This window comes from Homo sapiens, chromosome 21, assembly GCF_000001405.40.
Source record: "Homo sapiens chromosome 21, GRCh38.p14 Primary Assembly".
NCBI classification, from domain to species: Eukaryota; Metazoa; Chordata; class Mammalia; order Primates; family Hominidae; genus Homo; species Homo sapiens.
In genome coordinates, this window is record NC_000021.9 from 23,406,103 (window position 1) to 23,433,312 (window position 27,210).

A 27,210-nucleotide genomic window follows, 5' to 3' on the forward strand; every position below is an offset into this window, starting at 1 on the left:
TGAACTTCAGTTTATTGTATATTTGTTGATTGATAAAGCCCTCAGGAAATATGCTTTATAAGGCATTCTGTATTAAAACTCAAGTCTTCATAAAAACAGAGAGAGATTATATTTCTATGGTCAACTTGACTGTGATCCGTAAATCTACAGAAGAATGTAAGAAGGAAATTACTCTTGTGTTCTTTTGAATTTGCTTTAATTTACCACATTTTCTAATTAGAACAATGTAGCTCAATATTTTGTTTATTGTCATATCTGCCAGAAATCTCAGACCAAAATAATGCTCAAATTGAACAAATCATCATTTTTAAAATATTGCTCTTTTTGGTTTTTGTTATTTTTGTTGTTGTCTTGCTTCTATTTTATAGGGGTATTTCTGTTTCAAATGTGTGTGCCATCAGAAGCCCATTTTGGAAGAATGAATGTATTCAGAGTAATATATACACATGTATAAATACATTCAGGCACACATATATACGTATGCATACATATTTGTGTATGTATGTATACATATATATTAAGAGATTAGATAGATGATTAGATACATATATTAATATTGATGTTACAGATTAGACATAAGAAAACTTTTTCCTGCAAAGGACTATATGTATTTTATTTTATTATTTATTTATTTATTTGAGACAGGGTCTCAGTCTTATGCCCAGGCTGGAGTGCAGTGATGTTATCTCGGCTCACTGCAGCTTCCGCCTCCCAGGCTCAGGTGATTCTCTTGCCTCAGCCTCCAGAGTACAGGTGTGTGCCCGGCTGTAACTACACACCTGGCTAATTTTTGTACTTTTTCAGTAGAGATGGGGTTTTGCCATGTTGGTCTGTCTGGTCTCAAGTTCCTGGCCTCATTGATCTGCCTGCCTTGAGCTCCCGAAGTGTTGAGATTACAGGCATGAGCCACCATTCCTGACCAGCTATATGTATTTTAAATGGCTTGTGGATTTGTCATAACTGCTCAACTTTGCCACTGTAATAGGTAAGCAATCATGGATAATGTGTAAACAAAAGAGCATGGCGGTGTTTCAGTAAAGCTTTATTTATGAAAACAGGCAGCAAGCCAGATTTGGCCTAGAGGATGTTGTTTGCAGACCCGGATATAAATGATAGATTGAGTTACATAATGGATAGGGATATATAACAGATCCTATGTACTCATAAAATACTATCCTTATTAATATACATTCATCTTCTATTCTGATCTTTCTCATATTTTATGTTTGCCAAAACATAAAATAACTATATATTCAAATCCAGTGAACGGTGGTATGAATTCTCATTACTTATAGGGGCTACATTAATCTCTTCATGAAACTAAAACATATCCTGTGTAATTGAATAATATTCATATTTATTTATTTTATTCATTTTTTTATTCTAAAGCCTTTACTTTGAGACATGAAGAAAAAATTGTACAGGTACACATGGAAAAGACATGATCACTGCTGAGTGAAAACGATCTAACCAAAAAGTCTGAATGCCTGTCAGCTGATGTTGAAGCTGAAATTCTGGGGGTATAACATGCTGGAGGGCTGAAGGCAATGGATAATTAGAATTCCTCTCCTTCCTTCTCACCCTCTTCTTCAACAGAATCCACACTAACCACTTCATAATCCTTCTTAAGGACAACCATGTCCTGGTGGGCCTCGGAAAACTCTCCTTCCTCCACCCGTTCACCCACGGAATACTGAACAAAGGAACTTGGCATACATCAGGTAAAACTTGCGGTCCAGGTGAGCCCACACCTCAGCAATGGCTGTGATGTTGCTCAGTATGCACACAGCTCTCTGTCCTTTGGCTGGGTCTCCAACAGGTACCACAGTGGGAAGTTGGTAACTAATGCCAACCTTGAAGCTAGAGGGACAGCAATCCACAAACTGGATGCTGCATTTGTTTTTGATGGTGTCAGTGGCAGCACTGAAGTCTTTGGGAACCACGTCACCAGGGTACAATAGGCTGCAAGTTATGTATTTACCATGGTGTGGATCACATCTTACCATCTGGTTGGCTGGCTCAAAATAAGCATTGGTGATCTCTACTACAGAAAACCGTTCATGGTAGGCTTTTTCAGCAGAGATGACAGGGGCACACATGGCCAGAGGGAAGTGGATGTGGGTATATGGCACTAGATTGGTCTGGAATTCTGTCAGATCAATATTCAGGGCTCCATCAAATCTGAGGGAAGCAGTGATAGAGGACACAATATGGCCAATGAGATGGTTAAGGTTAGTGTAGTTTGGACACTCAATATTGAGCTTTCCAAAAGTCATCCAAATCACTTTTGGAAAACTGATTAAATGATAGAAAGGGTCAAGGTGATTTTTCAACCTTTCCTATATGAACTATATCATTGGATAACCAAATGGTAGATGTCATAGATGGCCTCACTGTCTACTATGAAGGCACAATCTGAGTGCTCCAGGGTGGTGTGGGTGGTGAGAATGGAGTCGTAGAGCTCAACTACTGCTGTGGAAACTTGGAGGATGGGGGGTTGCTGAGTAAATGGAGAACTGCAGCTTGGACTTCTTGTTATAATCAACAGAAAGACATACCATCAGCAGGGAGTTGAACCCAGAACCAGTCTGTTCACCAAAACTGTGGAAAACTAAGAAGCCCTAAAGACCTGTGCACTGATCAGCCAGCTTGTGAACTCAGTCCAAGATGAGGTCAACGATCTCCTTGTCAATGATGTAGTGGCCTCATGCATAGCCATTGGCAGCATCTTCCTTGGCTGGGATGAGCTTCTCAGGGTGGAAGAGGTGGCTAGTAGGTGTCAGGGTAAACTGTGTTAATAACTGTGGGTTCCAGATCTACAAACATGGTCCTGGGCACATGCTTTTCAGTGCCTGTCTCACTGAAGAAGGTGTTAAAGGAGTCATCTCCCCCTCAAATTGTCTTGTCTTGTCACTTGGCATCTGGCCATGGTGCTGGATGCCATGTTCCAGGCAGTAGAGTTACCAGCTGGAGCTGCCAGTCTGGACACCAGGCTGGCCAATGTGGATGGAGATGCACTCACACATAGTGGCTAAGAGTTAGGAGGCTAAAGCGACAGGAGCAGATAACGGGTCCAATGACCGATCCCAACAAGCTAAGAGTCAAGGTAAGTAATGCACTCAGTAATATTTATATTTAAACATCCCCTTTAGAATTTGCACATAAAAATGATCAAGGTAAAACTAATGTGAAGTTAAATAAGTCTAGCTATAAAAGATTATGATTAAGACAAAATGTTGAAGTCATGAAATGTATATGAAAAATACAACTGTAGTTGGAAGTAATATAACGTTCTGGTAGTTTTGAAGGGGATCACAAGGAAATCTGGTGTCAACTGTCATGAGGTTTGAACTATTGCTTATTGCTAGCCTTTCAGTTGCTCCAAGAAGGCATTGACATATCATTTTAACCTTTACATAATGGTGACAAAACTTGGGTATTAAGTTTTGAAATGTCATCTTAAACTAATTAATTTATGGCTGTCAGTAGCAGTGGACACATAATGTAACATACTGTTTAAATGTAGTAAAAAGATGACAATGAATAGGTGTTTCTCTTTCATAAATACAATGAAAATGTATAAACTTCCATACTATTTCAATGAATTTATTATTAACTTTATTTCCAAACATTACACTGTATGGTACATTATAGTTTGTTAATACCCATTTTTGTATCAGTTTTCTTTTTTTCATAAATGATTTTTTCCTTCAACTCTGTCTCTATATTTTTCGATAACCTTTTCTTTCTTATCATTGTCTTAATTTTAAAAGGTCAAACATTGGACTTATTTAATTTTTTATTATATCAAACATTTTTATTTCACTTTTAAAAGAAAAATATTTTGAGCTCTAACTTGGGAAACACTTTCAAAACTCCTGCATAGTTTCATGAAACTTGAAATTATTGTTTTTAAAAATAGTCACTATGAAATTATTTCTTTCTAATATAGCTAATTCTCAGCTTCTACGTGGAACCCTTGGGGCTACAATGGGGGACCACATTAACATAAATCCCAACCTCGCAGATTTCTATTAAAAATAATTTCAAGTGGTTCTCTATTTTATTCTATTAATTTAGAAATGTTTTCTAAGCAAAATCTGTCACATACCTATTATTTTCAGTGACTGTAGTATAAAACTGGCTTGGAAGTCACATTAATGAAAACTTTACGATTACCTCATCTGAGCTATTTATTTCCAAAAAAAAGTTTACAATACACATGACAAGTATTTCACAAACAGCATCACACACATGAACATTTTTAGTTTAAAAAAGATGAAAATAATATTAGCTAACATTTCTTGAGCTCCTACCATGTACTAGGCACTGTTCTAAAGTGTTAGTTAATTATATCATTACAGTTCAGGATTATAACTAAATCTTTTTTTTTTTTTAATGAACCATTGGTAAACTTACCTACTTAAAGCTATCTGTTGAGAAATATTCAAGCCATATTTAAGTTCACTTGGCAATTAACTTGTAATCATAAATGAGTAAAATCTTTTAAAATAAGGAATATATTTTATTTTAAAACCACCTTAAAAATAGATGGGAAGACATTGAGGAGCAATTTTTGTTTGACCTTTAATGGATGAATAGCTGAAAGCCTAGAAAACAAAAATAAAATAAAGTCAGCAAGGCTGACAGGAAAGCATGAGAGAAAGCCACACTGATCTACGTGTCACACTTAGAATATTTGACCCTACAAACAATAGATAAATTGATTAATCAATTTACCCAAAATGTATACTTTGAGAAGATTAATACAATTTATAATCTTCTAGTCAGACTGATCAGGAACAAGGAAAGAAGATACAAATCATCAATGTAGAAATAATATAAATTGGAGAACAGAGAAATGCAAAACAAAATAACAAAACTCTTGTTAGTAATCATAATTGAGATGATAGTATTAGTATTGTTATTCTGAGACAGTTGTATGTACAATGAGAAATCAAGCAAATGAGTAATTACAGGTTATTCTCATTCTATCATCTCTTGTATTTTGAGAGCCAGAATTATAAAGGCATATGAATTGCAACAAAGAGGTAATATAGAAGAAGTCTTGCAAAAATCTTATAATTTTGAATTGGAAATGAAGATGGAAATATCAGTATGGCCTCACAAGCCTTTATCTGTGTAACTTTGTCTTTATCTATTAATCCTAAATCCCCTGAAAAGAACTAGAAAATATAATAAACTCAGATTGTAGTACTGTCCAATTTAAAAGATAATGTGTTTTGTGGAGAAATGGAAGTGTTCATGCCTATAGAAGAAAATGTACAAGATTGAGTATAGACCATCTTGATAAAACAGACAGCAAGGAAGCTATCAATGACCGCTAGGATCATGCCTGAAGAATTCAAGAGCCAACCTGCTGATGTTTTGCTCATCATAGATGAGACAAATTGAACTTCAATAAGGATAAGAGGCACAATGAATTGAAACTCATCATAAATCCATGAGTTTATATAAATGTGAAAACTAATAATTGATCAACTGCTGAAAAAACAGTGATCCAAATCACTTTTGGAAAACTGATTAAATGACAGAAAGGATCGAGATGATTTTTCCACCTTTCCTGTATGAACTGTATCATTGGATAATCAAATAGTAGATGAAAGGTAGTATTCCTTTGCAAAATTATTACACCTGAAAAAATAAAATGATAGAATTAAATTGCAACCACTTTTTAACACCAAATGGAAGATGAAATGAACAACTAGCAGGCAATAAATAGCTGGGAGAAAAATAAAAATAAAAGCCAGAAGGCAGATATACTGAGCCTCTTGTTAAAGGAAATCATCTAAAGACTTTAATCAAATCTTTTTCTGAAATATATTAAAGTGTACCATGAGTTTATAATCAGCCTGACTCAGATTCAGGAAAACTTTCCAAGGTAAACTTTACAGTTTTTTTTTTTTTAAAAAAAAAAGAAGTAAAAGGAAAAGAAAAGGATGGAGATTTAGACACAGCGAAAATGGGGAAAACTGTATTCTGGTGTCTCAGGATACACATTTGCTTGACAAAACATAAAGAAATTCAAGGACTTGATTATGTATCAGGATAGTGGTTAACTATTGAGATAAAGAGCATTTAGTGGTCTGGGCCACAAAGGGAGTCTTTTGGAATGGGTGGGAAAGTTATATTTCTTACCCTATACAGGGAACACAAGTAAGGGCAACTTACAATAATACACTAAGCCAAATAAAGAAAATTCAGAGGTAGTTGTTTAACTGAATTATCACAAAATTCAAAATCATCAATTTTAAGATAAAAGTTCTTTTATTGTATTCTTTCTTTTGTTAGATTTGTTAATAATGGCATAGGTTTCTTAAGACTAAATGTAAAATTATTGACAATTTGATTTTTTCCATCCAAGAACTTCATCCTACTTCATTTATCATATTAGTTCATTTTCCAGAAACTGGGGCAGTAAATCATATTCCCTCAAGATATTCTACATATAAGCACAGATCTTAAAGAATACATGGCTTTAGCAATTGAACAATCAAATGGATTTAGAAAAAAAAACAAAAAAACAAGGAAATAGTCAACTTAAATTTAGTGTCCTCTCTTCTACTAAGGTTTCAAAACCATAGGGGAAAATGAAGACAGCTTCAACATAAATTCTGTGCTAATGATATTCCATTTTTGGCAGAGTAATTTGTATTGTTAATTAAGTCCCTAATACATGACTTTTATATGCAATTACTAACTGGTTAGGAAACAATCAATGAGAGCATTACCTACCAATTAGTGTTCTTTCTCATTAAATATTTAATTGCTCAGTGGAACTAAACATCACATGTCCTTGTCCATGTAAGTTGAGGAAGATGAAAGATAAAGCAACATATCTGAGTAAAATGTCATCTCTCACATCCAAATTGCTTCCCTTTTATTTTTCAAATGATCTCTTAAACATCTTTCATTAAATGGCTAGCCTGTGGTATTTTTCTATCAGTTTCATCAGTATAATAGTTAGGGAATATTTCCCAGAGAATGGTTACAGAAATATGAAACTTCTCATTATGCAGTCACCAATTTTCATGTGAAAATTCTGATTCCAAAACTACGTTCTCTTACCTAAGGTAAATCTTGGTTCCCACAAATTACCAAAATCTTATTTCAATCACTTGCTGAAAACATTGAATGATACAAAAACAGCTACTCTTGCCCATTTGAAAGTGAAGAGTAGAATAAAAGTCATTTATATGAAGATTTAACAAAAGTTAAAAGGTGAGCAAACCTTTTCTTTAAGGAGGCACTTAATATTTTTGTCTTTGCTAACTTCCCATTCTGTCACAACTATTCAACTCTGCCATTGTGCGAAAGTTGCCATAAACAATATGTTAACAAATTTGGAGGACTCTTTTCAATAAAATTTTATGTACTTATAGAAAACAAATGGCTGGCTAGATTTAGTCTGAGGGCTTTAGATTATCTGCCTCTGGTATAGAAGTAAAACTCAACTCCTGTCTTTTAGGTATTAATTTATTCATTCATTTAACACGTATTTATTCTGTATTCATTAAATATTCTGGTGATGGACTGGCAATAAACAGATAATGAGTAAATATGTGTCAAGTCAAGTGGCAATAAATTGTATGAGGAAAATTAAAGCAATAAATTGGGGAGATGGTGTCAAGGCATGGTTGGAGGATGGGGGCATGCTACATGGTAGCCAGTGTAGATTTCACTGATAGGTGACATATAGGAGAAACACCTGAAGGATAAAGTGAGTGTGAAACTTTATCTGAGGAAGAAAATTATCAGAACCATATGCATAAAGGCCATGAGTTAGCAACATATATATTATGGTGGAGACACAACAAGACAACTAACAGCTCAGAGCAGAAAGAGAAAGGGTGAGAGTATAATATGAAGCCAGTATAGTAGGGGGGTGGCATTTGGGGAACACATAACATAGTCTCTTTATGGTATTCTAATAACTCTTCACTTCCATCCTGAGAAGATGAAAATCTATTACAGTAACATGAGGTGACGTGATGTGACTTGTATGTTTCAGGTGAATCACCCTGGTTGCTTTGTTGAGAATAGAATGTAGAGAGGCAAACCTGGAGGCAAGGAGAAGTCGTAGTAGGTATTGTAGCCATCTAGGTTAGAGGTCATGGCGACTTCAGAGCAGTACCTGCAAAAATGGTGAAAAGTGGCATAAGCAATGTCTTAAAATAATGTGGTTTCCTGGGAATGGAATCAGAATTCAATTACTATTAAACTGAAATCTGAGAAATGTAAGCATGTTGTTTCACAAATTGTCTTTTACTACAAAAATAGTTTTTTCACCTTAAAATACTTTGATTAATTTGTATATATGTGAATGATCTCAAATAACAAAAAATGATCAACATTCGCAAAAGTATAAGCATCATATATTTAATATATTTTATTGAATTTAGGCTTGAACATAGTCTGGCCACAATCTTTTCAGAATATGACGAAAAGTGACAAGGGAAAAAGTCTTATCTTGGCCACGGATTTCACAGAACAAAAACTAAAGAGATGTTACTGCTGTTTCTCCTACCAGATTTGAGCAGTGCTTTGACTACATTATTGGAAAAATTCAATCCTGATTAAAACTTTTTTACATATTTTGCAAAATTCTTTAAATGGCTATGTTGACATTTTTCTTGAATTGAGGTCATCTTTTAAAATATATTAGAGATACTGAGTCACCTCTAACAATCAAGAATTAACTTGATGTTTTTCAAACTGAGTGCCATTACATAGGTGACTACCTGTAATAAATGTTAATGCCTCAACTACAGACTTTGCTAAAAAGAAAACCTACAATATTTGGAATGTCTTAAATGAATAATAATTTAATATATTAGCATTAGATCTGCACATTTCTAGCATTCATCTAAAGAAAGCAATAAAAGAAACGTGTAGGAGGATTTTACCTAAATTATAAGAAAGTCTCCCAAACCTACCTATAAAATAGTTGTTTACTTAAAATATCTTTAGAAATAGTGATTGACATTTTCTATACGCTAATGGGTAGATGTTTCTTGTTACTTTCATCTAAAGAGATGTCAGTTTTAAGTTTTATGGAACAATATTTTTAAAATATTAATATTAACTTATAAAATGGCAATTTTAGTAGAAACTAAAGGATTATTGTCTTTAAAAATATTGATAGGAATATGATTGTGTTAAAATATTTTGTGTTCAGAATATGAGTAATACATTTATTAAAAATAAACATTAATCAACTAGAGGCAATTAAATTACTTCCAGAAAAGTTGTTTTTGATAGTGTTTTACTCAACACCATAGAAAAATATTTGGAGAGAAAATAACATTATGTATAACTATAAATTAATGAGGTCTATTTCCTTACCATATGGAATGAGATTTTTTGGTTTTCTATATGCCTAACTTTTTGACTGATGTTAGGTCAGATTTTAAAAAGCACAATTTAAGAGCTCAGGCCTCACAGAGCTTAGAGAAAGAGTCATAGCAGTAATAATATAGTATGAGAGAGTACGTAAATAGGAAAAGATAACTTGTGTTTCTGAAGGAGACTCAAGAAAGCGGAGACTGATGCAGTTTACAAGCTGTGTGAAATTTTTTTTCAAGGAAATAGGACTTGTTCTGCTCTTTAAAAGATGCGGAATATTGAGGTGGCTCTTTTAGTTTTAGGGAGTTACTATGGACAAGTTATAATTATTTAAATGCAACATGCCTGAAATGAAGAGATGTACTCTGTTGGATTCAGGATTGCTCATAGTCCTTTCTGTATTAGTTACTGAGATGCTGGAAGAGGGCGTTGGAGGAAAGACAAACACGGAAGGGCAAGAAAATGCAAGTGATAGGGTCTGATCAAAAGCAATTCTCATTTTCTGGAGAGGAAGGAATAGGAAGGAGTAATGACAATATCATTGTGAATCCTTGTTCTTTTATTTAGATTAATTTCTTTACCAATGCAATTATTTTATTCACAATTTATAGTTTATGTGAATGATATAATCATAAAAATATATAACATTGTTTCTAATTATATGTATTGCCTCTGTATCTACAAAATTTGGTAAAAGCTAATTTTCTCAGAGGACAGAGAGAGAAAAACAGAGAGAAGAAAGAGAACTAAGGGAACATTCTGAAATGACTTTAATAGTTAAACAGCTAGTTTTTTGAGGTTAAAATAATCTTGATAAATAATCATTAATTTTTCTGTCACTCTTTTTAACCCTGAAGAATAGCTTAATTGGTTAATAGCTTAACTCTGCCAAGCCTCTCATCTTAAAAGCAGAAATTTAGTGAAAAGGCAAAGTTTATGAAATACTTATTTTTTTAAAATGTAGGGGGGAAAAATGGCAGGCTGTGGGAGGCTAAGGCGGGACGATTCCTTGAGACCAGGAATTCCAGGCTGTAATTCATGTAGTAAGCCATGATCATAGCCTGCGTGACAGAGTGAGACCCTATCTCTGAAAAAATTTTAAAAAAAGACAAGGTTGGGTGTGATCTGTTGAGTACAAGCCATTGACGCCTTACATTGATTTAGTAAATAAAACTGAACATATCATTCACTGGTAGTAAGAATAGTGTTAATTTCTGCAAAGATGTTTAATACTTAATCTCCAGCAAAAGGGAATGTACAGGAATGATTAATATAAAGATCCTGAGATGGGGAGAATATTCTGGACTATCTGGATAGGACCAATGTAATCACAAAAGTCTTTATGAGAGAAATAGGAAATCAGAAAAGGAGATAACAAAGACAGAGCAGAGGTCTTAGTGATGCTGTTGCTGCCTAAAAGGGCCATAAAGCGAAGGGGTAGAAGGTGCCACCCCTGAAAAACGTAAGCATATTCTTCATTGAATCTCCAGTGGGAACATGACCCTGCTCACACCTTGATTTTAACCCTGTGAGATGCCTGTTGGACTTCAGGTCTCCAGAACTGTAAGATAATGATTTGTGTTAAGCTACTAAATTTGTGACAAATTTCACAGCAGCAATAGGCAACCAATACAGTGCTAATCAAATACTTAAGTTATATTTTGATATGTTGCATTAGCAGTAGTATTTGAAGGAAATGAAAAATGTGTTTTACTGTAGAATACATCGTAGAGCTCAGAGATGAACTGGAGAAATGCCTATTTTTTTTCTTAAAGGCCTCTAATCAGAGAAAAGATTAAGTAGAAGTAAGATCAGATAGCTAATAAGTTCTAGAATGGTTAAAAAAGACCTCACTCAAACTCTTATATACTCTTAGCTACCACACGTTCTTCATTCTTCTTTAATCTAAACCTCTAAAGTGGGTTCTCCATACTTATGTACATTTGAATATGTTTATTGTTTTTAATTGACAGCCTTGCAGTTTTACCTTTACAACTAGATCTCAATTGAGTTTGCACAAATAACAATCTCCATATTTCTTATTATTTCTTGTAAGATATCCATTTTTACTTTTTTCCCAAATTGAAACCAGGTGAGAAAATATTTTAAAACTTTAATATTTTATGAGAAACATAGAAAGGGTTATTTTTGAGCCTCTCCAGCTGCAATAGGAAGATTTTCCTGTAAGAACTGGAATACTAACATATTCTAAACATTGAAGTAAGTACTTCACTGGCAATGCCAAAGAAGTCAGTTACTGAATGATTTTTAAATGAAACATTTGATGAATTTATTATTGTATTGAACATGACTTCAAAATGTGCTATACTGCCTGAGGGTTTTGTAGATGTTATAATTCACTTTAGTTCTTTGTATTCCTATATTAAGATCACAGACTTAGCAATAAATAAGACTTTATATCAAAACAGCTCCCAATATTATAGTAAGCATGAGTCAAATATAAGAAAATAAACAGAGTGAGAACAGGAAGTATCAACGATGCTTGAATTTGTCATCTGTATTGATTTATGGAGTTACTTGTATAAACGTATCAACAGTTTAGCAAAAACTAAACCAATGCAGGAAGGTAAGAGTGTCAACAGTTTTCTGGCACACTTGAGTCAGGTTTTCACGCACAGCTTTAAATATGATATACAATATTCTGAATATTATATGCAGTGATACTTAAATATGAGAAAAACATCAATTCTCCTTATAAATTATTAAACCACATAGAATTTAGTAAACTTTTCAGATGGTTGGCACAAATATTTTACTTTATCATACAGATTATATAAATATTTTAAAATATTATCTATTTTAAGATTCTGGAATGGAAAAGAGACATTGACTATTGCCTTAAGATGAAGATAATTATCTAATTATGACTTTAATATTCATGTTCATAAAACCAATTACCTTCAATGTATCAACCAAGTATCTGATGGTTATTATAGGTAATGGATCTAATGATTGCTCTTCTGATAATGGCAATATCATAGTATTTTTAATTATCATTTAACATAATAATTACCACAATATTGTGGGCTGAACAATTGATAAATACATAAATTTTTTCATTAATTTATATTTACATTTTTATGCTATTTATCATTCTGAAATACTTTTATTCAGTCTTGAGATTATGTTAGTAAAGAGACATTACAATGAACAAATGAATTTAATATTCTTCCAGGCCAGGTGCGGTGGCTCACACCTGTAATCCCAGCACTTTGGGAGGCCGAGGTGGGCGGATCATGAGGTCAGGAGATCAAGACCATCCTGGCTAGCACAGTGAAACCCTGTCTTTACTAAAAATACAAAAAATTTAGCTGGGTGTGGGGGCGGGCGCCTGTAGTCCCAGCTACTTGGGAGGCTGAGGCAGGAGAATGGCGTGAACCTGGGAGGTGGAGCTTGCAGTGAGCCAAGATCACACCACTGCACTCCAGCCTGGGCGACAGAGCAAGACTCCGTCTCAAAAAAAAAAAGAAAAAAAAATTCTTCCAATACTAGCAATATAACTGGTAATTTATATTGGCTTCTGATTTTCTTAAAAATTCCGAAAGTACCTGGCAATTAAAGAAAATCCTTTGAGCTTGGTTTCACTAGCATTAATTTTCATAGTGAGGCCACAAAGCAAGAATCCCAACACCCAACTTTTTGCTGCTCCTCAGATATTCTGATGACTAGCAGTGAAATTGCCAGGAGGCACTTTATGAGCACATGTCTGATTCACTTTGAATTTATTGTTTCTGTTTTGTTTCCTTTCTTTTTATTTCCTTATGTTTATTGCATTAGTTCTATTTTCCATCATAACCCTCCTAGTTGGGCATGTCAAAAAGATTAAGAAAGACAGTTCATTTGTATCATTTGCTGTTTATATTTCACAGCCACACATTGCATTGAACAACATCCCATAGTTCATTTAAGAAGCCATATGAAATAAACCTGATTAAAGACTCAGAGAAAATGCAAACAGGATTGGGGCAATTTTCATTATTTTACTATAATCTTGTTTGTGATTTGTTTTCACTCTTGTTCACTGTCATGTGTACCAGAGGAAAATTATAAAGGAAACAAATAACTAATTATTAGGCAGGAAAAAAAAAGACAGAAAAAAAATTCAGTCAACTATGCATGTTCTCTTCAAACATATTCTACTTTGCAGCAATCTGATGTTGTCTATTTTATATTTGGTCATACACTCCTTTTGAATTCTGTAGATTACTTATAATAACTGAATTTCCTGGGAGCACTTTAAATAAGACTCTTCAAGTTTGAGCACTTAACCCAGCAGGCTGATTTGACAGAAAGTGCCAATTACAGGTACTAGAGAAACAGATGGGAAGTATTTGCCTCAATAAATAAATAAATAAACACTTTAATAATATGGGTTAAAATAGGGGAAGAGTGATAGCTTTGGAATTAGTTTGAATTGTGTGCACACTTTAAAAAATATTACTGATAATACAATTAGAGCAAAAAAATTAGAGGATGTAGAAAATAAGTTTTTTTTTTTTTTTTTTTTTTTTTTGAGATGGAGTCTCTCTCGCTCTGTTGCCAGGCTGGACTGCAGTGACAAAATCTCGGCTCACTGCAACCTCTGCCTCCTGGGTTCAAGTGATTCTCCTGCCTCAGTCTCCCTAGTAGCTGGGATTACAGGCATGTGCCACCACGCCTAGCTAATTTTTGTATTTTTAGTAGAGATGGGGTTTCACCATGTTGGCCAGACTGGGTCTCTATCTCTTGACCTTGTGATCTGCTGACCTCAGCCTCCCAAAGTGCTGGCATTACAGGTGTAAGCCACCATGCCCAGCCAAAAAGAAGTTTTAACACATATGAAAAATCTACAACAAAAGGAAAAGTCTAAATTAAATAAGGAAATAATAACGATAATATTTTTAAAGCATTTATATATTTTTAAAATTTATATCTTTCATACAAATGCAGTATGATCATCAGTCACCTAATGAGTTTACAGTTACTAATATTGTTCCCATATAAGGTAGAAAAGTGTAGAAAAGTATGTAGAAAATATTTATCGAAAATCTATTCCCAGAGGGAAAATGCAAAAAAAATTACATAAAATAGAAAATATAGGATTATTAATTCATATGAGATAAGATACTTAAGTATAATATATACTTCCTACCACCCTGTTCATGGAATAGTAATACTATGTAATTATGTATATCACAACTTATAATAGTGTAACCTGAATGGTGACTACACACGTCTGTGGATAAAAAACAATTTATGTTACTCTTATATCACAGTCTTCCTTTTATTTTTAGACTGAGTCTTGCTCCTCTGTCACGCAAGCTGGAGTGCAGTGGCACGATCTCGGCTCACTGCAACCACCTCCTCCCGGGTTCAAGCGATTCTCCTGCCTCAGCCTCCCGAGTCGCTGGGATTACAGGCACCCACCCTACGCCTGGCTAATTTTTTTGTATTTTTAGTAGAGACAGGGTTTCACCATGCTAGCCAGGATGGTCTTGATCCCCTGACCTCATGATCCTCCCGCCTCGGCTTCCCAAAGTGCTGGGATTACAGGTGTGAGCCACCATGCCCGGCCAGACAGCCTTACATTTGTTATATTTTACAATGTATGTTTAGAAAACTAATATATTGAGACAATTTGTATTCACAGTAAAATATTTGAAAACTATAAATATTCTTTGTACCAGAGTCTCTGCTATAAGTTCAAATAAATTTAGCCTCTTTTGACAATATTGATGGAGTGTAGTTGGACACAAAATAGTCTAATCTCCATCTGAACCCACTTAATAGAGGAGAAAATGCAATTGTGAGTTATTCCTATTTGAGAAAAAAATACTTTCTAAGAAATGAATCAATTTATAATAACAATATAGATAACAAATAGGTAGCAAAATAGTGATATTTGAATTAAAAAAACAAGGGCTTGTCTAAAATACAAAATATGTTTTATAAAATTAAGATTTTTGTATTCAAGATGATTTAATTACTAATCAGGTTAACAAAACAATTACCTTAAATAGAAGAATTGAAAAGAATGTATTTTAAAGGATTATACAAAGATGTATGAGCAGTGAACAATTTTGTGGAAATAATGAGAGGGGCTAAAGGATGTAAGAAAACAAATAATGAAGTATTAAATAAAAAATACTTTTTGGCTAGGTCCAGTGGCTTATGCCTACAATCCCAGCACTTTGGGAGACGAAGGTGGGAGGATTGCTTAGAGCCCACACGTTTGAGACCAGCCTGAGCAACATAGGGAGACCCCATCTCTGCAAAACATAAAATAATTATGTTTTGGTGTATGGTGGCAGGTGCCTATAGTCACAGCTAGTTGGGAGGCTGAGGCAGGAGGATTGCTTGGGCCCAGGAGGTAGAGTCTACAGTGAGCTGTGAGTATAATTTTAAAGTATGTGATGAATTAGGGAAATATTTTATAAATGTTTATGGACTGCAGTGCCCCTTCGAATGTTGGGACCATTATTGCACTTGCTCATGGGGCTAAAATCAGCAGTCATTCAGAAAACCAAGCAAGCAAACAAACAAACATCGCAGCAATTTAGGTAAAGAATGCAATTTCACCAACCTGATGAAGAGAATTTGTACAAAACTCACCAGCTTAACTCCCAGCTGTCAATCAATACCAATCTGCCAATGTGTGGGTGAACGGTTTTGTAAATGGTCCTCTGCTGCCCAGCTCACGTTTCATGGAACAGACAGATTATCTTCTTTGCGCTCTTCCTAAATTCAAATTCATGGACTAAAATATGTGTATATTTTCTGTTGTTTAAATAGGCTAAGTTTTAAGGAGGCTTACTACTGCAGTACTGCTTTTGTAAGAGAGTGCCAAGCAGCTGGGGAAACATGATACAAGAGACATTGGTTTTGGAAAAAAGAAAAAGGCAGAAGCTGGAAGACCCTTGGGGTTAGTATTAAAAGAAGCCTAAAAGGCTTGAGAAAATTATCAGTAATGGCTTAACAGAAAGTAAAAAAAGAAAATGGAATCTGGAGGAAAGGAAACACTTTGTAGGTAGTAGCTATAAATAGAAAATAGAAATGTACAAAATAAATGTGGTGATCTAGCTAAGAGGATTTTCAGGAAGATTACTGAAAATAATACCTAATGTTTGACTGACTGTAAAAAAAAAATGTGACAGGAGAAAGATCAACTAAGAAAAGTTAAAACTAATGGAGCCAGGATTTGTTGTATTAAAAAAATAAAAACACTTTCTCATTTCAAGTCTCTCCAGAGGGAAAATTATACTTAAATTAAGAACAGCTCTCAGGCTTAAGATCAAATCCATAGGAGGTTTAAAAGAGTATTTACGAATGCATCATAGCAAGCCACCTCATAAAAACCTGCAGACCAGAAAAAAACAAACCAAAGATCCTCTAAGTATCTTATAGATGTATCTTGTAGGTTCACTTTCTTAAAACAGTAAGTCTCAGAATCCTAACAGTTACTGGTTGCAGGGAGTTCGTACAATCTTGAAGGCATGTGTGGGTTTTGCTTTTATTAAATCGAGTGAATGATAAATGGATATACATAAAGGTCAGAAATATTGTAAGGCATTGTTTCAGCTTGGACAAAAGGAACAGAGACATTACCACTTGTAAAGAGGATATTGACATAAAATTATTAATATAACGAATTTAGATGAGAGATGTTAAGAGGTGTTATTGTTAGAGTAGGAAGATAGGCAGATGTGAGCAGGGCAGCAGAGCTCCCCCAACCCCTCTCCCCCACCATAAATGTCAGGCAACCATCAGGTGATGGTCAGGCGGTTGTTAAACTGTCTCTCTAAATAATAATGGGTCACAGCCAGCGCCAGGGAATGGCAGTCTCCCAGTAGTTAGAAAATACTGGAAGCTGGTGATCAGCACCTTCCCAATAAGAACTCAGGAGCTGGACACGTGGGCTCAAGCATGCGCACTAAGGGGCAAAATGCTGGCGTTTAACTGGTTATATGACCTTCCTCTGGGAACACTTGACTGGGTAAGTGAAAATGCCTCAAATGAGCACGTGCATAACTTGAGTAAACACACTGTGTGTGTGCCCCTTTGCAAGTTGCCAGCAGGCCACTGCACATGTGAACCCTAGGAAAATTCGAGGGAGGAGAGAGGTAATCCCCCGCCCCAAAACGTGCCAACATATAAAACCTGAAGTCAACGGTTGAACAGCGGATTTGGAGCTCTCAAGTTGCCCTTTTGTCCCTCTTCCAAGTGTAATTCATTTTGTTTATGTCCAAATACGTTTTAATAAATTCTCCTGCTAAAAAACATGTCTCCGGCCGAGCGCGGTGGCTCTCGCGTGTAATCCCAGCACTTGCGGAGGCTGAGGCAGAAGGATCATGAGGTCAGGAGTTGGAGATCAGCCTGGCCAACATGGTAAAACCCTGTCTCTACTAAAAATACAGAAATTAGGCCGGGCGCGGTGGCTCACTCCTGTAACCCCAGCACTTCGGGAGGCAGAGACGGGCGGATCAGGAGGTCAGGAGATTGAGACTATCCTGGCTAACACGGTGAAACCCCATCTCTACTAAAAATACAAAAAGTTAGCCGGGCGTGGTGGCAGGTACCTGTAGTCCCAGCTACTCAGGAGGTTGAGGCAGGAGAATGGCGTGAACCCGGGAGGCGGAGCTTGCAGTGAGTCGAGATCGCGCCCCTGCACTCAGGCCTGGGCAACAGAGCGAGACTCCATCTCAATAATAATAATAATAATAATAATAATAATAATAATAATACAGAAATTAGCCGGGTATGGTGGTGGGCGCCTGTAATCCCAGCTACTCAGGAGGCTGAGACAGGAGAATTGCTTGAACCCAGGAGGCAGAGGTTGCAGTAAGCCAAGATTGCGCCACTTCACCCCAGTCTTGGTGACAGAGCAAGAGTCTGTCGGGGGCGGGGGGAGGGTATCCATGCCTTGGCTGGGCGCGATGGCTCACGCCTGTAATCTCAGTCAGCACTTTGACAGGCTGAGGCAGGTGGATCACCTGAAGTAAGACCAGCCTGGGCAACATGGTGAAACCCCGTCTCTACTAAAAATACAAGAATTAGCAAGTCATGGTGGCAGGCACCTGTAATCCCAGCTACTCAGGACGCTGAGGCAGGAGACTCACTTGAGCTTGGGAGGCGGAGGTTGCATTGAGCTGAGATCACCTTACAATATTTCTGACCTTTATGTATGTCAATTTATCATTCACTCTATTTAATAAAAGCAAAACCCACACATGCCTTCAAGATAGTATGGATTCCCTGCAACAATGACAGGATTCTGAGACTTACTCTTCAACAAAGTGAACCTACAAGATACACACATAAGATACTTACAGGATCTTTGGTTTGTTTTTTCCGGTCTGCAGGTTTTTATGAGGTGGCTTGCTGTGATGTATTCATAAATATTCTTTTAAACCTCCTATGGATTTGATCTTAAGCCTAAGACCTGTTCTTAATTCAAGTATAATTCAATTTCAAAAAGAGTCAACAAAGATTCTTGGGAAGTTTTTCATTAAAACACCTTGAACCCACCTGCTTTTGCCATTCTCTGGCTCATAGAATGCTCACAAAATATGGCTGTGCCAGGTGTGATCTGCTCCAGCCGGAATCTCAGTTTTTGTTTTGTGCAAGGGGATTTATGCTTTGGTCGCTTTGTTCATTGTTTCATGTATATTGTAAAGTCTAGGAGGAAAATCTCTACCTTCACCAATAACACCCTCATGACGCTTCCCTTTGCTGGACTTGAATGTCTTTGTAACTCTCCTTCATGAAATCATTCCTAAACTTTTTTAAAAAAATTTCTCCATTAGCTTGGGGAAGGGAGAAAAAGGAAATCTCAAAACATTCTTCCCCTAAGCTTATCAATTACCTTCTTCAAATTCAACCAATTCTATTCTCCAGGGAATTTCTGCCAATGTCTCATCTTCCTCTGACATAGGCTCTTGAGGTCATTTTGAATATCAATTAACTTACTTTTAGCAAATTCTGTCTAGAGGGTCTAGAAGACTTCTGTACAATAGAACTTAGTGAAAGTTACATGTGTAATTTTAAAATTGTTAGTCACATGAAAAACTGAAAGAGAATTAAGTGAAATTAATTTTAGAAATTTGTTTTATTTAATTCATAATACCTAAAGTATTGTATTCCCACGTTCAATCAATATGAAACATTATTGATGATATACTTTACATTCTCTTGTGTTTAATTTACACTTACAGTGTGTAACTTACTAGTCTTTAGTTAGACTAGTCACATTTCAAGGGCTCTATAGCTACAAGTGACTAGTGGCTACCATATTTAACGGGAGGTTTACAAAGACTTCCTCAGGTTATGGGTTGGTGGTGGTGGGGGCTTATTTCTTATACTCTCAGGTTTCAGATAACTACCATTCAAAATCCTGATGAACATGTAATGCATAATTGAAGGTACGACTCAGTCATCATTTCCACTTATTTCAAACTTCATCAACAAAAGAAACAATATTAATGCTGCCTTAAGTATACAGAGTGGATCAGATCAATCCCTATATTAACTGACCCTCCATTTGATCCCTTGAAAATGTGAAAATAAATCAGGAGCAAAATGTCCTTACTTCATGCCAAGAAGGTTACAAGTAAATAGATCCCAGCATATTTTGTATCATTTAATTATAGCAATTGATGCCTTCCTGAAGTATATCATGTTATCTGTCAATGTATTCATGAAGCACTCCCATCTCATTTACAAACCATCCCTTGCCCAGATGGCTAAGCACATCTAATTATCTTGAATAATAATTTTAGATGTCAGAGTTTTCTGACCTTTATAAAAATTAAGTATACTCATCTTGGTTCTCCCTACTGAAAATACTCTGAATATATAGTTATATATAGGCTTAAGATAATAAGTTTATTATAATTACATATTTGCTCAGTGTAAGAGGACTATTTAAGTTATATTATTTTACCCAAATCATTTTGTTAAAAAAAACCTGGGGTACATGAAGTCTATTAGTCAACTGTAAACTGTAAATAACCTGAAATATTAATGCTTTGATCATTTTTAATTTTGATGCAAAACACTATATGTCATTTTATATGTATTTGTAGTTTTCTTGTGTTCATAATTTTCTCATATTTTAAGAATATTTGTGTTTCTATTTCAGTTTTCAAACAATCATTACTCATATTTGTTGTTACAAATATTTACAATCCTTAAGTGTCTACTAAAATCACTAAATGTTTACTTTGTACATGTGAAACTTGTAAAGTGCTGCAACTAGTTATGTATCAACTGGGGACTTGATTGTTATGTGATGAAAATTTTAAAAATAGATTACACAGAAATTTCTTATTTTTTAAAGATTTTCTTCAATCAGTCAATTATCTATCATCAATCCCTTCTAATTATATATATAGCTGAATGTCTATATACACATATATAGCTGATTGTATATATACGCACATGTATATATACAAGTGCGTATATATACACACATATACACATATAACACATATATAATGCTTTGATCACTCTATAGCTCAACCATAATAAAATTATATTTAAGAAATGTGCTAATTCATTCATCAATATTCAATATCACGTATGTGTGTATGTATACATTGCATATATAATACATATACACATATATGGGTATATATACATTCAACTATACATAGAGCCAGAGTAAGTGAGAGAAGTATGTGAAAACATATTCATCAGTTTTTGGGGGGCAAGATGATAATATTGATTAAGTGACTTTTTTGTTCATTTATATTTTACTTTTCTTAAAAAAATCAAGAAAATCATATAAACTATCTCAAATAATATTCTTTTATGATATAGTATCAGATGAGTTAACATATTCCCTATAGTTATACATTTATCTTATTCAAATTAATTTTTTATTAAATATACAAACCTGAAGACATAATTGATGACAAATATTATTTGCTTATTTCCTTATGGATGTTTGGATATCTGCATTCTGTTTGTGACACAATGCATTTTACTTGGTTCCTTGATGTCAACCAATTCAAAAATTGAACTAACATCCAGAAAAGGTAGATTTTTGATTAATCTACTTAATTGATAAATTACATTAAAAGCAATATTAACAAAAAATAAGGCCAATTTGTTTGAAGACAGTTGTAATGAATACATAGGAGTGGAAGGTAAATAAACTTCAGATTTACAATCAGGAATTCTAGATGACCATAAGCTGCTTACTGGACACAGGTGGCTGTTTTCTCAGGAGAGCATTTCATAATAGGTTTTAAATGAGGAAATGGGAATCATTAGTTTTAGATACTTTTGAAATCTCACAAGTGTGAAAACCTTCATACATCATAACTGAAATAATGAGAAGTGATTAATAAATGTCATTGACTTAAATGAGTTGCCAGATGCATCTGATTCTCAAGTGAGCAGGAAAAATAAAATGCAAAAAAGCCTCATAAAATGTGTCATAACAGTTTGTGATAATTTATGTTAAACCACAGAGATGATTCCCATTTCCAAACATAATGTAATTTTAGAAACCAAAGTTATTTATTTGTAGAATATAATCAAATTATATGTTTTAACATTTGAAAAATTGTATTTTTCTTCTGCCCCAAAGTAAAATTAGAAAAAAAGACGACAAAAATATGGATAACATGTAAAAATCTCTCATTTGAGTTAACAAGGAATAGAATGGATTATATATGTACGCCATTTAAAATAAGTAGACTAAAAAATAATACATTACGAGAAGTTCATCTGTTCGGTGAGGATGTTTTTAAAATATTAATTTATCCAGCTACTCGGGAGGCTGACGCAGGAGAATGGCGTGAACCCGGGAGGCGAATCTTGCAGTGAGCCAACATTGTGACACTGCACTCCAGCCTGGGCAACAGAGCGAGACTCTGTCTCAGAAAAAAAAAAAAAAAAAAACAAAAAAAAACCCACAAGTAATTTATTAGATTTTATTTTAAAAACTAAGAAGCAACTTAGTTAATAAGCTATGCCATGATACATGTCATTGGACAGTCATTTAGCAAAGTTAAATTTTAGAAAATCGTGTTAAAAGAGCAAATTTTTCTTTTTCTATGAGAAACTTAATTTCTGGCAATAATTCAATATTTTAATCATTTCTTATGAATCTTTTTTAAATCTATAGAAATTATATAGCCCATCCATAACAAAATTATATTTAATAAATTATATAGCCCATCCATAATAAAATTATATTTAAGAAATGTGCAAATTCATTCATTTTGCAAATCAGATAAATTTTAGCCTCATGCCAAATAAATATTGAGTTTATGTTCTTTAATATAAAGAAGGTTGTAGCATTTAAAATATCACCAAAGATATACATATTATATATATTATATAATATATAATATAATATATAATATATATAACATATAATTATATATTATATATTATATGTATAATATAATATATAATTATATGTTATAATATATTATTATATATTTATATAAATATATATAAATATATAATATATAATAATATAATATAATATATATATAATATAATATAATATAATATATAATATATATTACATAATATATTATATAAAGATATATAATATATTATATAAAATATATAATATAAAATATAAACATTGAGTCCATGTTCTTTAATATAAAAAAGGTTGTAGCATTTAAAATATAATCAAAGATTTTATTTTATTTTTTATTGTTGGTGCTAATGGAGGTTTTCTAATTATATCTGTCTTCCACTCCTAAAGATTCTGATTTATAGGTCTAGGGGAGTGATCTGGGCATTAGAATATTTTATATGCTCTATGGCTTATTTAAAGTGCAATGAGTTTGAGATGCACTCTGTTACTTGGTATTAATCAATATCTCCTTGCTTAAAAATAACCTCCTTTTATTCATTCATCATATGTGCATGTATGTATTTCTGCATATCTTTAGAATGCATTAAGTACAAGGCGCTGTGTACTGTGAATAGCATAAAGTGAAATAAAATACCTTCTTCTTCAATAATAGTTTTAAAACTAGCAGGAATTATAAAATTATTTGGTAATTTTATCTACTCTAAGTGTTAAAAATGAATAACTCTGAAATCTATTTTTTCACAACAAAACTGGCTTTTAAAATTTTATTTACTGATTAATTCATGAGTATGTAACTGAAATATTCTACCAGCGCCCTGAACTCAAAATGCCTTAAGCAAAACTGATGATCCTCTTTCCTAAATTACTTATTCCTTCTGATTTCTCTATCTCTTTCAAAGGAGTGAATAAACTCTTCTTTTATTTCTTCCTTTGGGCTGGCTGGAATATCATGATAGCTGAAGCTAGAGGAGCTGCTTTGAATGAACTGGTGTTTAACAGAAACAATGCACCAAGAAGAAGCTGTATTCTCTATACTTTTCAGCAACATGCCACCTAGTTTCTCATTTTTAAAGTAAATCATCTAAAAATCCCATTTAACCAAAATTATTTGTTTTTTGTTGTCCGATTATTTAAGCATAATCAGAACCAGTATTTATTGAGTGCTTTTTGTATTTTTGGCACAATTCTTTACCTACAATTAATCTTCTTAATTTGCCTACCAGCATACTATGTGCCAAGCAAAAATTCCATGCAAATTTCTATAACCATGAACCTTAGATTTTAGTTGAAAAAGATAGAAAATAAATAATAAACTTATGTCAGATAATGAAACATAGAATATAATTTTTATTTGTATGACCTTATGATAGATTATATATGTGCATTTATATATAAGTATATATTTATATATATACTTATATATAAATGCATGTATATAATTGCATATGGTAGAATTATATATATTTTCAAGCAATTCTATACTTTTACTGTTTAAATAAACTTAATTTGATGCTGTAGAAAGAAATGTGGGTTAAACCTCAATTGTCAAGTTAAACCTCAATTGTAAGGTGGATGCAAAGGTGGATTTGCTGAAACTTATTTGCATATGGAGTACTATGACCGAAATGTGTCCCCCAAGAAGCAAGTGTTGGAAACTTAATCCCCAATGCAATGCTATCTGGAATTTGGCCTAATGAAATATGTCTAGGTCATAAGAGCTCCACCTTCATAAATGGATTAGTACTACTTTTAAAAGGGTTTAAGTCTTTGAGTTTAATCACTTTCTCTCATGTGTTCCTTCTGTCTTGTCCTTCTTCTTTCTACCACGAGATGATGCAGCAAAGAAGGCCCTCACCAAGTGTGGGCCTCTTGACCTATTACTCCCGACCTCCAGAACTGTAAGAAGTAAATCCCTGGTTTTACTTCTTTTGTGTGTGTGTGTGTGTGTGTGTGTGTGTGTGTGTGTGTGTGTGTGTTTGTTTGTTTGTTTAAGACAGGGTCTCACTTTGTCGCCCAGACTGGAGTGCAGTGGCACAAACAAGGCCCACTACAGCCTCCACCTTCTGGGCTCAAGCGATCCTCCCACCTTAGCCCCCCAGGTATTTAGGACTACAGGCATGTACACCACACTTTGCTAATTTTTGTATTTTTTGTAAAAACTGTTTCACCATGTTGCCCAGACTAGCCTTGAACTCGTGAGCTCAAGCCAGCCTCCAGCCTCTGCATCCCAAAGTGTTGGGATTACAGGTGTGAGCTACTGCACCCTTACGTTTGTTTGTTTGTTTAATAAATTAACCAGTCTCAGGTATACTATCACAGCACAAAATGGGCCGAGACAGAAAATTGGTACTGAACAATGAGGCTGTTGGTATAACAAATACCTAGATACGCGGAAGTGGTATTGGAACTTCTAGCCTCTAATGAATAGAGGCTAGAAGAATTTAGAGGAGCAGGCTAGAAAAAGCCTAGACTGCCACAAATGAAGCAGTAAGGGTGATTCTGGTGAGAGCTCAGGAGAAGAGAAAAAATGTAAGAAAATTCTGGAATTTCTTAGATATTAAGTAGTAATGATCAGAATGCTGGTAGAAATACAGATAGGAAAGGACATTCTAAAGATGTTTCAGTTAGAACCAAGGAACAAGGTATTGGAAACTGGAATAAAAGCCATCATTATATAGTTGCAAGGAACTTGGTGAGATTGTGTCCCTGCCCTAGGGTGTTATGGAAGGCAGAACTTAAGAGTGATGTACAAGGATATTTGGTAGAAGAAATATCTACAGAGCCAAGCACCCAAGGTGCTGCCTGGCCTGTTTTGTCCACTTGAAGTAAAATGAGAGAAGAAAGACATGATTTAAAGATGGAATTGATAATTGAAAGAAAATTAGAAAGAAATAATTTTGGAAATGTTTAGCATTGCCATGTCAAGAATGAAAAGGCATATTTTGGATAACAAACTTTATGTATGGCCAAGCAATCCTTTGCCAAAGTGCCACAGATCGAAGAGATCCAGATAATATTCATCAAAACAATGAGGGAAAAATCTCAAAGGCATTTCAGAAATCTTCAAGGCCTCTCATCACAGGCCCAAAGCGTGACCTTGAGGTCAGGGTTTCCAGAGAGGTGCCCATGGGACCTCAGCATTTGCTGCCCTGCACCACCTCCAGTGTCTGCTCCCTGCATATTGGCACAATGCTCCTCAGTTGCCATTGCCACAGCTCACGTGGGCCCAGGTGCAGCTTGGGCAGGCACTCCAGAGGGTGCAGGCAAGGAGCCTTGACAGCATCAGAGTGTTGCTAATTCTGCAGGCACACAGAGTTTGGGAGCTGTGGGGCTTTGACAGTCTTCACTTACATTTCTTGCTTTCTTTTTGTTAAGGCTACTCAAGTGAAGCAGTAGAAGTGGACAAGGAACAAAAAAATCTGTAAGTTGGTGTGGTCAATTAGTTGTAAATAACCCTGTACTCAGACCAGCTGTCTCCGTCTAAATTTTAACATATGTTGCAGACAGCCTGGTGGCATAGGCAGAAACTTGCCACAGGAGCAGAGCTGCTACAGAGAGTAGTGCCTAGTGGATCCATGGGAACCAGGCCAACATAGTCTCCAGTAGTCTCCTCCAGCTCCTAATGGGGCTGTGGGAGTGGGACCAGCACTAAGACCCCAGAACTGTAGAGCTACAAGCATGCAATGATAGCCAGAGAGAGCCGCTGGCAGGAGATTCCAACTCAGAGAGAGCTGTGGCATGGGCTGAGCCATAAGGGTAAGCCTGCTTGAGGCTTTGGGGGCCAAACTCTCTTGAGTCTACCCAGAATGTGGGATATGTAGTCAAGGAAAATTATTCTGAAGACTTATGATTCAATCCTGTTTGGCTTATTGGATTTGGGACTTGCTTAGGACTTATTACCTCTTTCTTCTTGCTAATTTTCCCCTTTTGAAATGGGAATGTGTTTTGCTATTGTATTTTTGAAAGACAACTTGTTTTAATTTTACAGACTCACAGCTGGAGAAAATTTGTGTCAAGATGAATCATGTTTTGAATCTTCTCTCATGTCAGATTTAGATAACTGTTTGGACTATGGACCTCTTAGTTGATGCTGGAAAGTGTTAAGATTTTGGGGACTATTAAGGTGAAATAAATGTATTTTGCATGTGAGAAAGACATTAATTTTGGGGGCTGTGGTGGAGAGCTATGGCTTGAATGTGTCCCCTAAGAAGCATGTGTTGGAAACTTAATCCCCAGTGCAACAGTGTTGGAAAGTTGGGCGTAAGAAAAGATGTTTATGTCATAAGGGCTCCACCCACATGAATGCATTATTACTGATTGTTAAAAGGCTTGAGGCTGCAAGTTTGATCTCTCTCATACACAAGCATATGTGGTTTCTTGCTCTTCTGTCTTTCACCATGGGATGGCTCAGTGAGAAGACTCTAACCAGATGTAGGCCCCCTTGACTTTGAACTTCTCAGCCTCTCGAGCTGTAAGAAATAAATCACTGCTTTTTAAATAAA

At 34.9% G+C, this 27,210-nt stretch overlaps 2 long non-coding RNA genes and 1 pseudogene across 5 annotated transcripts; 1 reads left to right on the plus strand and 2 right to left on the minus strand.

Annotated features, from left to right (window-relative positions):
- On the minus strand, positions 1,390-3,120 carry TUBAP1 (tubulin alpha pseudogene 1; annotated as a pseudogene).
- On the plus strand, positions 3,025-27,210 carry LOC105372747 (uncharacterized). 3 transcript variants are annotated; one of them, XR_937607.3, is made up of 4 exons: positions 3,025-3,106; positions 16,159-16,288; positions 26,084-26,129; positions 26,697-27,210. It is a non-coding gene; the product is annotated as an uncharacterized LOC105372747 (long non-coding RNA). The 3 variants fall into 3 exon arrangements; XR_937608.3 differs by lacking the exon at positions 16,159-16,288 and having other exon boundaries at positions 3,028-3,106; XR_937606.4 differs by lacking the exons at positions 3,025-3,106; positions 16,159-16,288 and adding an exon at positions 17,301-17,359.
- On the minus strand, positions 7,791-17,574 carry LOC107985512 (uncharacterized). Of its 2 annotated transcripts, none has more exons than XR_001754981.1 (3): positions 17,524-17,574; positions 15,979-16,104; positions 7,791-8,155 (listed from the first exon to the last, which is right to left on the minus strand). It is a non-coding gene; the product is annotated as an uncharacterized LOC107985512 (long non-coding RNA). The 2 variants fall into 2 exon arrangements; XR_001754980.1 differs by lacking the exon at positions 17,524-17,574 and adding an exon at positions 17,111-17,154.